The sequence below is a fragment of the Homo sapiens genome, chromosome 3, assembly GCF_000001405.40.
Source record: "Homo sapiens chromosome 3, GRCh38.p14 Primary Assembly".
Classification (NCBI taxonomy): domain Eukaryota; kingdom Metazoa; phylum Chordata; class Mammalia; order Primates; family Hominidae; genus Homo; species Homo sapiens.
In genome coordinates, this window is record NC_000003.12 from 82333460 (window position 1) to 82347460 (window position 14001).

The following is a 14001-nucleotide window of genomic DNA, read 5'->3' on the forward strand; positions in this document are numbered from 1 at the left end:
CTCATCATTTTTTATGGCTGCATAGTATTCCATGGTGTATATGTGCCACATTTTCTTAATCCAGTCTATCATTGTTGGACATTTGGGTTGGTTCCAAGTCTTTGCTATTGTGAATAATGCCGCAATAAACATACGTGTGCACGTGTCTTTATAGCAGCATGATTTATAGTCATTTGGGTATATACCCAGTAATGGGATGGGTGGGTCAAATGGTATTTCTAGTTCTAGATCCCTGAGGAATCGCCACACTGACTTCCACAGTGGTTGAACTAGTTTACAGTCCCACCAACAGTGTAAAAGTGTTCCTATTTCTCCACATCCTCTCCCACACCTGTTGTTTCCTGACTTTTTAATGATCGCCATTCTAACTGGTGTGAGATGGTATTTCATTGTGGTTTTGACTTGCATTCTCTGATGGCCAGTGATGATGAGCATTTTTCATGTGTCTGTTGGTTGCATAGATGTCTTCTTTTGAGAAGTGTCTGTTCATATCCTTTGCCCACTTGTTGATGGGGTTGTTTTTTTCTTGTAAATTTGTTTGAGTTCTTTGTAGATTCTGGATGTTAGCCCTTTATCAGATGAGTAGTTTGCAAAAATTTTCTCCCATTCTGTTGCCTGTTCACTCTGATGGTAGTTTCTTTTGCTGTGCAGAAGCTCTTTAGTTTAATTAGATCCCATTTGTCAATTTTGGCTTTTGTTGCCATTGCTTTTGGTGTTTTGGACATGCAGTCCTTGCCCATGCCTATGTCCTGAATGGTAATGCCTAGGTTTTCTTCTAGGGTTTTTATGGTTTTAGGTCTAACGTTTAAATCTTTAATCCATCTTGAATTGATTTTTGTATAAGGTGTAAGGAAGGGATCCAGTTTCAGCTTTCTACATATGGCTAGCCAGTTTGCCCAGCACCATTTATTAAATAGGGAATCCTTTCCCCATTGCTTGTTTTTCTCAGGTTTGTCAAAGATCAGATAGTTGTAGGTATGCGGCGTTATTTCTGAGGGCTCTGTTCTGTTCCATTGATCTATATCTCTGTTTTGGTACCAGTACCATGCTGTTTTGGTTACTGTAGCCTTGTAGTATAGTTTGAAGTCAGGTAGCGTGATGCCTCCAGCTTTGTTCTTTTGGCTTAGGATTGACTTGGCGATGCGGGCTCTTTTTTGGTTCCATATGAACTTTAAAGTAGTTTTTTCCAATTCTGTGAAGAAAGTCATTGGTGGCTTGATGGGGATGGCATTGAATCTGTAAATTACCTTGGGCAGTATGGCCATTTTCACAATATTGATTCTTCCTACCCATGAGCATGGAATGTTCTTCCATTTGTTTGTGTCCTCTTTTATTTCTTTGAGCAGTGGTTTGTAGTTCTCCGTGAAGAGGTCCTTCACATCCCTTGTAAGTTGGATTCCTAGGTATTTTCTTCTCTTTGAAGCAATTGTGAATGGGAGTTCACTCATGATTTGGCTCTCTGTTTGTGTGTTGTTGGTGTATAAGAATGCTTGTGATTTTTGCACATTGATTTTGTATCCTGAGACTTTGCTGAAGTTGCTTATCAGCTTAAGGAGATTTTGGGCTGAGACAATGGGGTTTTCTAGATATACAATCATGTCGTCTGCAAACAGGGACAATTTGACTTCCTCTTTTCCTAATTGAATACCCTTTATTTCCTTCTCCTGCCTAATTGCCCTGGCCAGAACTTCCAACACTATGTTGAATAGGAGTGGTGAGAGAGGGCATCCCTGTCTTGTGCCCGTTTTCAAAGGGAATGCTTCCAGTTTTTGCCCATTCAGTATGATATTGGCTGTGGGTTTGTCATAGATAGCTCTTATCATTTTGAAATACGTCCCATCAATACCTAATTTATTGAGAGTTTTTAGCATGAAGGGTTGTTGAATTTTGCCAAAGGCTTTTTCTGCATCTATTAAGATAATCATGTGGTTTTTGTCTTTGGCTCTGTTTATATGCTGGATTAAATTTATTGATTTGCGTATATTGAACCAGCCTTGCATCCCAGGGATGAAGCCCACTTGATCATGGTGGATAAGCTTTTTGATGTGCTGCTGGATTCGGTTTGCCAGTATTTTATTGAGGATTTTTGCATCAATGTTCATCAAGGATATTGGTCTAAAATTCTCTTTTTTGGTTGTGTCTCTGCCCGGCTTTGGTATCAGAATGATGCTGGCCTCATAAAATGAGTTAGGGAGGATTCCCTCTTTTTCTGTTGATTGGAATAGTTTCAGAAGGAATGGTACCAGTTTCTCCTTGTACCTCTGGTAGAATTCAGCTGTGAATCCATCTGGTCCTGGACTCTTTTTGGTTGGTAAACTATTGATGATTGCCACAATTTCAGCTCCTGTTATTGGTCTATTCAGAGATGCAACTTCTTCCTGGTTTAGTCTTGGGAGAGTGTATGTGTCCAGGAATTTATCCATTTCTTCTAGATTTTCCAGTTTATTTGCGTAGAGGTGTTTGTAGTATTCTCTGATGGAAGTTTGTATTTCTGTGGGATTGGTGGTGATATCCCCTTTATCATTTTTTATTGTGTCTATTTGATTCTTCTCTCTTTTTTTCTTTATTAGTCTTACTAGCGGTCTATCAATTTTGTTGATCCTTTCAAAAAACCAGCTCCTGGATTCATTGATTTTTTGAATGGTTTTTTTGTGTCTCTATTTCCTTCAGTTCTGCTCTGATTTTAGTTATTTCTTGCCTTCTGCTAGCTTTTGAATGTGTTTGCTCTTGCTTTTCTAGTTCTTTTAATTGTGATGTTAGGGTGTCAATTTTGGATCTTTCCTGCTTTCTCTTGTGGGCATTTAGTGCTATAAATTTCCCTCTACACACTGCTTTGAATGTGTCCCAGAGATTCTGGTATGTCGTGTCTTTGTTCTCGTTGGTTTCAAAGAACATCTTTATTTCTGCCTTCATTTCGTTATGTACCCAGTAGTCATTCAGGAGCAGGTTGTTCAGTTTCCATGTAGTTGAGCGGCTTTGAGTGAGATTCTTAATCCTGAGTTCTAGTTTGATTGCACTGTGGTCTGAGAGATAGTTTGTTATAATTTCTGTTCTTTTACATTTGCTGTGGAGAGCTTTACTTCCAAGTATGTGGTCAATTTTGGAATAGGTGTGGTGTGGTGCTGAAAAAAATGTATATTCTGTTGATTTGGGGTGGAGAGTTCTGTAGATGTCTATTAGGTCCGCTTGGTGCAGAGCTGAGTTCAATTCCTGGGTATCCTTGTTGACTTTCTGTCTCATTGATCTGTCTAATGTTGACAGTGGGGTGTTAAAGTCTCCCATTATTAATGTGTGGGAGTCTAAGTCTCTTTGTAGGTCACACAGGACTTGTTTTATGAATCTGGGTGCTCCTGTATTGGATGCATATATATTTAGGATAGATCTTCTTGTTGAAAAAGGTTGTGTTTTGCACGGTGTGTGTGTGTGTGTGTGCGTGTGTGTGATTCCATTGACTGTGCAGTCATGCACAGTATAACAATGCAACCCCTGCCTTTTTTTGTTTTCCATTTGCTTGGTAGATCTTCCTCCATCCTTTTATTTTGAGCCTATGTGTGTCTCTGCACGTGAGATGGGTTTCCTGAATACAGCACACTGATGGGTCTTGACTCTTTATCCAATTTGCCAGTCTGTGTCTTTTAATTGGAGAATTTAGTCCATTTACATTTAAAGTTAATAATATGTGAATTTGATCCTGTCATTATGATGTTAGCTGGTTATGTTGCTCGTTAGTTGATGCAGTTTCTTCCTAGTGTTGATGGTCTTTACAGTCTGGCATGATTTTGCAGCAGCTGGTATCGGTTGTTCCTTTCCATGTTTAGCGCTTCCTTCAGGAGCTCTTTTAGGGCAGGCCTGGTGGTGACAAAATCTCTCCGCATTTGCCGAGATGGCGCCACTGCACTCCAGCCTGGGCCAAAGAGCGAGACTCCATCTCAAAAAAAAAAAAAAAAGTAAAAAAAAAAATCTTTCAATTGGCAATTTGAAGAAGAAAAACATTGTAAAGATGGGAATAAAAATTACCTGCATTTGAAAATTAACACTGCGGGGGAGGAGCCAAGATGGCCAAATAGGAACAGCTCCGGTCTCCAGCTCCCAGTGTGAGCGACGCAGAAGATGGGTGATTTCTGCATTTCCATCTGAGGTACCGGGTTCATCTCACTAGGGAGTGCCAGACAGTGGGCGCAGGCCAGTGGGTGCGCGCACCGTGCGCGAGCCGAAGCAGGGCGAGGCATTGCCTCACCTGGGAAGCGCAAGGGGTCAGGGAGTTCCCTTTCCGAGTCAAAGAAAGGGGTGACGGACGCACCTGGAAAATCGGGTCACTCCCACCCGAATATTGCGCTTTTCAGACCGGCTTAAAAAACAGCGCACCACGAGACTATATCCTACACCTGGCTCGGAGGGTCCTACGCCCACGGAATCTCGCTGATTGCTAGCACAGCAGTCTGAGATCAAACTGCAAGGCGGCAGCGAGGCTGGGGGAGGGGCGCCCGCCATTGCCCAGGCTTGCTTAGGTAAACAAAGCAGCCGGGAAGCTCGAACTGGGTGGAGCCCACCACAGTTCAAGGAGGCCTGCCTGCCACTGTAGGCTCCACCTCTGGGGGCAGGGCACAGACAAACAAAAAGACAGCAGTAACCTCTGCAGACTTAAATGTCCCTGTCTGACAGCTTTGAAGAGAGCAGTGGTTCTCCCAGCACGCAGCTGGAGATCTGAGAACCGGCAGACTGCCTCCTCAAGTGGGTCCCTGACCCCTGACCCCCAAGCAGCCTAACTGGGAGGCACCCCGCAGCAGAGGCACACTGACACCTCACAAGGCAGGGTATTCCAACAGACCTGCAGCTGAGGGTCCTGTCTGTTAGAAGGAAAACTAACAAACAGAAAGGACATCCACACCAAAAACCCATCTGTACATCACCATCATCAAAGACCAAAAGTAGATAAAACCACAAAGATGGGGAAAAAACAGAACAGAAAAACTGGAAACTCTAAAACGCAGAGCGCCTCTCCTCCTCCAAAGGAACGCAGTTCCTCACCAGCAACGGAACAAAGCTGGATGGAGAATCACTTTGACGAGCTGAGAGAAGAAGGCTTCAGACGATCAAATTACTCTGAGCTACGGGAGGACATTCAAACCAAAGGCAAAGAAGTTGAAAACTTTGAAAAAAATTTAGAAGAATGTATAACTAGAATAACCTATACAGAGAAGTGCTTAAAGGAGCTGATGGAGCTGAAAACCAAGGCTAGAGAACTACGTGAAGAATGCAGAAGCCTCAGGAGCCGATGCGATCAACTGGAAGAAAGGGTATCAGCAATGGAAGATGAAATGAATGAAATGAAGCGAGAAGGGAAGTTTAGAGAAAAAAGAATAAAAAGAAATGAACAAAGCCTCCAAGAAATATGGGACTATGTGAAAAGACCAAATCTACGTCTGATTGGTGTACCTGAAAGTGATGGGGAGAATGGAACCAAGTTGGAAAACACTCTGCAGGATATTATCCAGGAGAACTTCCCCAATCTAGCAAGGCAGGCCAACGTTCAGATTCAGGAAATACAGAGAATGCCACAAAGATACTCCTCGAGAAGAGCAACTCCAAGACACATAATTGTCAGATTCACCAAAGTTGAAATGAAGGAAAAAATGTTAAGGGCAGCCAGAGAGAAAGGTCGGGTTACCCTCAAAGGGAAGCCCATCAGACTAACAGAGGATCTCTCGGCAGAAACCCTACAAGCCAGAAGAGAGTGGGGGCCAATATTCAACATTCTTAAAGAAAAGAATTTTCAACCCAGAATTTCATATCCAGCCAAACTAAGCTTCATAAGTGAAGGAGACATTAAATACTTTACAGACAAGCAAATGCTGAGAGATTTTGTCACCACCAGGCCTGCCCTAAAAGAGCTACTGAAGGAAGCGCTAAACATGGAAAGGAACAACCGGTACCAGCTGCTGCAAAATCATGCCAAAATGTAAAGACCATCGAGACTAGGAAGTGCTTTTATTATAACTTGTATCATACCCCAGTCTTACTTCACCTTTCAAACAAACGGTCTACTAAGAGGTATTCACAGACACTCAAACTTTATCACTCCAGCCATCATCAGTTGAAAAAGTAGTGCTCAAAGGAAGAAAGATATTTTGATTTTTATATTTTTTGTGCCAGATTTATTTCTTTATTTTGGTGCTCTTATATGTGTTCCTAGCCTTGGTTTAGTAATGGTATTTAGGAAAGGGAGCCAGTGATGTCATACAATTAAGTTTCTAAAGGAAACCAGAATTCTCTTCCCCTAGGAGGATGAACTAGAAGGAAAGTGACAAGTGTATGTATAATTCCTTAGCAAACATTGTAATGCTTTTGTATTATAAACTGACATTTTCTAGGAGTGGTTTCAGGACTAGCTGATTGGTTATTTCATGATTCTTATTCAGTGAGAGTTCTATAGCAAATACTGATTTTAAGGAATTAAAATCAAAGTAACTCATGGAGAGAAAGATGTTGACACCTCTGTCTATCTCTTTGATGCTTTAGAAAATACATCTTATACTATTTAAATATTAAAAAATTGAAAAATCTATTTTTCTTTTAGAATTGAAATATATTTCATTGTTTTCTTGTAGGCTCTATCACAGATAATATCCTAACACAGTATCAGTGAGCTATCTTTTACAAAAAATTGATAACGAGTAAATTATGGACATTAAATTAATAATTCTATTGTTGCAGAATACATGCCCACCTTCTCCTCAACTTCTGCCTTAATGAAATGCACAATAATGGCTGGCTTACCAGAGTGGCCTGTTGTATGTATATAAACTCTAACTAATGAAAGAAGTGAAAACACTTTGAAAATCTACAGACGTGGTATTTCCTTGATCTTTCCATTCAAACTGTTATAGTGGTTCCATCCAGCCCAATAAGCCATCTTTGAAAGTAAACCCGGGGTCAACTCATGTGAGAGTATGAACGCTATCGCAGTGTTGACCTGTAGTTTTTTTAATGTCAGATTATGAATTTATTGATAAAAATAAATAAAATGAGGTCACTAAGCAGACTATTTCTAATTTATTTTAGAAAGCATTTTAGAATTTACTTGAGTAAGTTAGTTCTCTGAATTATCAAACTTAATTACTTGAAAACCCACAAAATAGGTACGGAATGAGACAGCTTAAGTGCCAGGTGTCAGGTAATAGTTCAAAAGAGAACTAAAATGAGCACATAAGCTTTCAAAAAGCACAATATCTGCTTATAGGTTGCAAAAGGTTGTGTTTTGCAGGATGTGTGTGTGTGTGCGTGTGTGTGATTCCATTGACTGTGCAGTCATGCACAGTATAACAATGTTTTGGTCGATGACAGACCTCATATATGACTTTGGGTCCCATAAGATTATATTGGAGGTGAAAAATTCCTGTTGCGCAGTGAACATTGACAATGTATGATAAGGTCATAGTGAAACACATTACCACTTCTATGTTTAGATGTACAAATACTTGCCATTGTGTTACAATTGCCTACAGATATTCAGTACAGTAACATTCTGTACAGGGATGGGAGCAATAGCCTAGGTGTGTAGCAGTCTCTACTATCTAGAGCTATATAAGTACACTCTATGATAGTCCCACAATGACTAAATTGCCTAGCAATGCATGTCTCAGACAAATCCTGTGATGCATATCTGTGTGTCCTTTAATTCTAGTCCTGAAATACCATGTATTACCATTACCTTTTTTATGCGATTCACAATTGTAATGGCATAAAAAGTGATTCTGGGAATCTCATAGCTCTTCACTATCCTTTGTATTATGTACTTAAGTTGCATTTTAAAACAAAATACATGATTATATGTAGCAGATTTTTCATGAAGATAATAATTTATTACTCTGTGAATTGATTCTTCCTGTTAAGCTCGCAATAATACAACTCTTATTCCAGTCTGCGGGAAAAGGAAGTCTTTCCTCTACCTAGCTTTAATTATTTCTCAAGAAGTTATTCTTATATTCTTCAACATGAACAGTTCCTTCAGTGGCCACAGTGCAAATGACTAATATGATGTAATACAAACTCCAACAACATGCAAAATACACTGGTAAAACATGGGGCCCTAGGCTCTTGTTTACATTTCTATATTGTCATATGAAGTCATCTCTTTAATTATTTCAATAATGAAACATTTACCAGTGTACAAATGAAGTCTGCCTATAAATTTTATTTACACAGATTACCAAATTGTTGAAATAAAGAGTTTTACTGTCACATACCCTATATTTGGAAGTTCTATAATTTTAAGAAACCACAGGTCTATGTAGCTTTGCATGTTAAAATATTTTAGTTTTCACATGGATGACTTTTTTTGAATGAATAATTCATTGCTCTCTTTTCATTATTTTGTTTAAGAAAACTGAGGATGAATCTAATTTATTGCTTGGTGATTAACCTACAAATGGTTAACCTTGAATATAAAATAATCATGACATTATATCTCATTGCAATGTAATGCAACATAATGTAAAGTAGTATAACAGAAAAATATAGTATATTTGATAGTAATTTTATGTTTTACAAGCGTTATAGGGTGCCTGCTTCATGCTAGACATCGTAATGGACAACAAGAATAGAAATTAGAAACACAAGTTTTGGGAGCATACAGACTATGTGGTGTGTTACTATCTGTTAGTTTCTTTGAGATGCTATAATACAACAAAATACCATAGAGTGGGTAGCTTATAAACAACAGAAATTTATTTCCCACAGTTCTAGGGGCTTAGAAATCCAAGATCAAGGTATCAGTGTATTTGGTGTCTGGTGAGGGCTTGCTCTTCCAATTCACAGATGATGCCTTCTCAGTGTGTCCTCACATGGTAGAAGGGGCAAACAAGCTTTCTCTGGCCTCTTGACGGAAAAGCACTAACCTGGCCAGACACTGTGGTTTGTGCCTGTAATGCCAACACTTTGGAAGGTCAAAGTAGAAGGATCAATTCAGGCCAGGAGCTTGAGACAAGCCTGGGCAACATAGTGAGATGCTGTCTCTTAACAACAACAAAAAGACACTAATCCTGCTTATGAGGTCTCTAATCTCATGAATTAATTTCCTCCCAAAGACCTCACCTCTAAATACTATTGCATTGGGTATTGGGGCCACATAAACGTGCACACCATAGCACTGTATTTGTGGATTTTGATTACTTTCTAATTTCTCTGAACCTCAGTGTTTTTAATAAAGTGAAACTAACAGTACCTACGTCATAGTTGCGTGTGTTTGAAGTTTAAAGAAGAAGATGCAAGCAAAGCTCTTATACACAGTCTGGAAGCCCTCCATGGAGATTACCCATTTAAGGAATTTGGAAAATGTTTAGATATAGACTCCACATTCAGTTATCTCCACAGAAGAGGCAGATACATAAATAAACAATAAGTGCATCAGTAAAAATGCAAACTATGAAAGTAGCATAAAAAGGGAGGAAATTTAGAAATGCTTTACTGAGGAGATGCTGTTTAACCAAATTTTGAGGAATGAAAAGGAATGTGGTACAGAGATAAAGAAAAGCAAAATAGAATTATTTGATACTGATGGAATGTGGTAACAAAACAACGTTACCACAATGTGGTAGTGTTACCAACTGGTAACAATACAAATTTAATTAGAATGGTAGGAGCCGTCAAGAAGTTCAGAATGATGGAAAAGTCAGTTTCAAGGGAGTCAGACACATTCCATAAAAGCGGATATAAAGACAGCTTCTTTTTCACTTCAGGGACAGTTGATTTCCTTCCCTTATAGCTCTCAGAAAATTTCACATAGTTTGTAAACACTCGTTATCTATTCAAACATCATTTATTGATGCCAGATACTAAGTTTTGGAAAGAAAAATGGAAACGAATATATAATAATTCCTTGTTCTTAAGTCCGATTGGAGAAAAATGTATATAAATAATTAGAACACATGGAAGTAGTGCATTAATAGAGCTACATTCAAGATACTACGGAGATAATTCACACCTACCTGTGATAGAGATCCTGTCACCAGATTTTCTCACTGTGACAAACTATAGAGTCTGGGTACTATAGTTTTAAAAAATGACTACTTGAAGTCAACATAGAGATAAAAATAAGCCAAAAATATAGGGTTCGATATTCCAGAAAGGATAAAATGTATTGTGGTAAACTGAATTTTTCTGTAGACTTTCCCCGTCAAGGAATTTGTTTATTCACTGTGAGAGACAGAGAAGCTGTAGAAGAAGCAACAGTCTCAAGCTTGTCGCATCTCACAAATACTAGATTTAAAGCTAGCAGGGCAATCAGAACCTGAAGGGCCAATATCCTCAATATAATGCTACATATTTGGGGGCAAGATTGCAGGAAACCAGTTCCAAAGCAGCCATTAGAAGGCTCAAAAACTAAGCAGAGATTTCAGTAGTTCCTCACTGTTGAGACAACAATGAGAATACTCCATTTGCAAAGGAAGAGGGGCCTTTGTAAAGCCTCCAGGCTTTCACCTGAGCCTTTTTATCTATTTCCGATCTTAAATATTGATATTTAATTTTAGCCCTTTTCAATTGCTGCCAACATGTCAATGACTCCAAAAGTACTACCTTCACAATCAAATAATTTTGTTACATCCAGATTTATATTTGTGACTAAAACTGGATATCTCTACCTATGCATTCATAGCTTTGACAAGGAACTAAGTTCAACTATGAATACATTCTCCTTTTTTCACTCTCCCAAGTTCCTCTTCCTGAATTTCTTATTTTGGTTAATGTAACATCTCCTCATCGACTCAAGAACCTGGTAAATATACACAAGCAATTTCTGATTTCTTGTCTTCACTCTCTAGAAGTTATATCCTAACACCTGCAAATTAATGCCTAAAAAACTTCAAGGACTCATTTTCACTCTAATTCTACTTGTCCTTATCCAGATGATATTATCTCTTGCTCACATTATTTCATTGTGCTCCTAACAGCATACTTGTTTTCAGCCTCTCTTTATCAGATATCCACAGTGTTTATCATTTAACATAACATATCATTTCTTGTGAGGCAAATAATTGCCCAAATGAATTCATGACCATTCACAATCTGATCTCATTTCCTATAAATTTCACCATGGGACCTGTGACCCTGATGCCCTATATACCTATATATGTTTATTCATGCTTCTCTCTCTGGCAAGAATACCCTTCCTAGCCTTTATACACCTTACAAAAGCCGGATCACCCTTCAAGGTCCAGTGTAAATAGCATCTCTTCTATGAAGTCTTAACAACTTCATTGTTTCCACTCAGAGATTAATTTCTGTCTTTCTCTGTGACTCTATGACTACTTCAGTTGTAGTGCTGGATTAACACTTACATTGTAGTACCATGAACTGCTCATAAATCTATCTTTTTTATGTGGTATGCTCTATTAAACCTGGGCTCATACTAATTGCCTTGTTTCTTCGCAACTTAACATAGGACTCCTGGGACATAATAAGTTGTGGATTGAATTATATTTTCTCACTCAAGAGGTTTTTATGGCTGAGAACACCCCAAACATGAAAGAAATGGGCTTTTAAAATGCATAATTGTATTGTTATATCGGGTAAATTTTTTGGGAAAAAGCAGTATTCAAAAACTTGTACCAAAAATTATAATCCCTATAGGAAATTTTAAAAAATATTATGCACACAACCTTTAAGGAGGTAAATATGAAGCTGTTTGACTGAAATAAAATTATTATGATGTCATTTTTAAATTGGATGTGTTTGTCTGCTGATCTTTTCTTGTGATCTACCATGACTGTAGACTTACTTGCATTAATTGTTATCAGCGTTCTGAATTGAAACAAAAAGCATAATACATCTCTGTAATTTCAGCAAGACTATAAGTTAAGTAAATATCTATTTATTCATCAAGATTTTCTATTTGTAGCTTAGAATAAGGAAAAAATATAATTTGCTGCTACCAGCATCGTACTTAATGTCTATCATGGAGAACATCTGAAAAATAATATACTTTTTTTATTTCTGATTAACACAAATGATTTTGGTAAATACGTTAGTTTCTAGCATTTATCTTTTCCACTGACTACTGTGAAAATAAAATGAAATAAAATAATTTTTAAAACCTGTATTTTGAAAGTGTAAAAACAACCTGAAAGAAAACATAGCCATCATCATCAGGATAAAATATTGTGTACTTTTAAAAAAGTATTTTTTTGGAGAGTTATGACAATTTTTATTCTTTTTAAAAAAGTCATGCACTACATGAGAAAAAAATTAAGGGAAGAAGAATTTACACATAATGTTAGAGAATGTTACTTTTTTTTCTAAAATATTAAGTTAGCCATACATCCTCAGCCAGATATTTCGATGTGATAATACATTATCTTCTAAAACCTTACTGCCCAGTAATGTCTATACCCAGAATTCATGAATCACCATTCCTAGATCTGAAGCATCTTTTCCAGAAAGCAAAACTTCTCCATAAAAGACTATCACCGGTGATAATTTAATATAATATGTTTTAGACCATCTATGGGATGCCTACTGGTAACGAAGAATAAAGACATCATTGTGTTTTTGTAATTTTTCCCTAATAATTTGACATTAATTTATGGTACAAGTGAGGATTTAATTTTCCCACTGGTATTAACTTTCTACTTAATTAAGTTAAACTAAAGGATAATCAATTTATTGGATTACTGTATTTTCCATGTTCAATTCAAAATCTATTTGTGTAACTTCCATAGCTGTTCTATAAGTTCTTGGCATAGTCAAAGGCTTTTGAACTAGATGTGTTATTGAGAGTTAGACAAAATACATAGTGGTAGAGGTATAACTTAAATTGCTTTCACAAATCCCCCATTCATTTTTTCTGGAAATCTATAGAGATACCAACATGGCATATTGACCCACAGAGTGGCACTGTAATTTATGTTGTTTAAAACAGTGAATTTCCTTGGAAATTGAATAGTCTGTGATGCTCATCATAAAAGAAATGGTTGCATGATTAATAAATCAATGCACTTAAATTACAACATTACCACTCATCCTAATAATCAGAAATCTTACAGAATCAGTAGCGTAAAAATAGTACAATGGGGCTGGAAGGGAAAGTTGTTTATAAAAGGACAAGGAAGCACTAGAGACACATGAAAGATGTTGGAAAAAAAACTCAAATTAAGTCAAACTTAAATTCCTGTTATATTGATCTATGAGACATTTCAGTAATTGCAGTGTCTCTTTTGTGAAATAGTCTAAGAAATTTCAAGAACAAAATGCTTGAAAACAATGTTAGAGTAAAATGTGCTAAATGTACCTGAAATCTACATTTTCAAAATCTAAATTTTCAAGAAAGAGAAAATTGTTATCCAGAATTTCAGGGAAGATAAAGTTAAGAGAAAATATGTTCTTTCAATTTTTTCCCCTAAGGTATATTTCCTTGTATTTGTCTTCAGCTCTTTTTAATATAACGAGGGGAGTATGTGCTTCTACTTCACTCTGAAACGATTTCTCCTGAACTTAATTTGTTTACACCCTCAGTACAATAACTTAAAACAACAGAAGCATTAGTAAATATTTTCTTGTTTTGCAAATAAGGACAAAGAGAACCAGAAAGTTAAAACTATTTGTTTCAGTCATAAAAGAAAAACTAGAATTAAGTGACACTCTAATCACTTTAATAGGTCACATCTAACCCTCTGTAGCCATATTTTGATGCTGCTGCCTTATTGATAAAAGAAAATCCATTGAAAATTGTTGGTATTTTTTTTTGATGGAGGTTCCCTTTCTTGATATCCAGATATTAAGTTGCTGTTCTGTCTAAAAAGTAAGACTTCCATAAATCTTGTTTGCTGTTTGAAGTTTAGTTGATCTGAATATAAAGTAAAGAAGTTAAAAAGACAGAAAGTGTTAGTAATTTATTCTCGTAATATCTCCTTCAGGGAGGTTGTACACCTTTTAAATAATAGATATGCTAAACTATATAAGTATGTATTTATTAAATTTTAGCAGCAATTCATAATAATTTCTTGT

General features: G+C 37.1%; 1 long non-coding RNA gene across 1 annotated transcript in view, besides 2 other annotated features; it reads left to right on the top strand.

The window, feature by feature from the left end:
• Positions 1-14001, top strand: part of LINC02008 (long intergenic non-protein coding RNA 2008) — a 477534-nt gene that overhangs the window by 347318 nt on the left and 116215 nt on the right. The window lies entirely within an intron of this gene.
• Positions 3718-4412: an enhancer, noted in NCBI's record as "NANOG-H3K27ac-H3K4me1 hESC enhancer chr3:82386328-82387022 (GRCh37/hg19 assembly coordinates)". NCBI's record gives its function as "activates a minimal SCP1, AML or CMV promoter by ChIP-STARR-seq in naive H9 embryonic stem cells {active_cell/tissue: H9 hESC(naive)}" and the evidence as "EXISTENCE:reporter gene assay evidence [ECO:0000049][PMID:30033119]".
• Positions 4413-5107: an enhancer, noted in NCBI's record as "NANOG-H3K27ac-H3K4me1 hESC enhancer chr3:82387023-82387717 (GRCh37/hg19 assembly coordinates)". NCBI's record gives its function as "activates a minimal SCP1, AML or CMV promoter by ChIP-STARR-seq in naive and primed H9 embryonic stem cells {active_cell/tissue: H9 hESC(naive and primed)}" and the evidence as "EXISTENCE:reporter gene assay evidence [ECO:0000049][PMID:30033119]".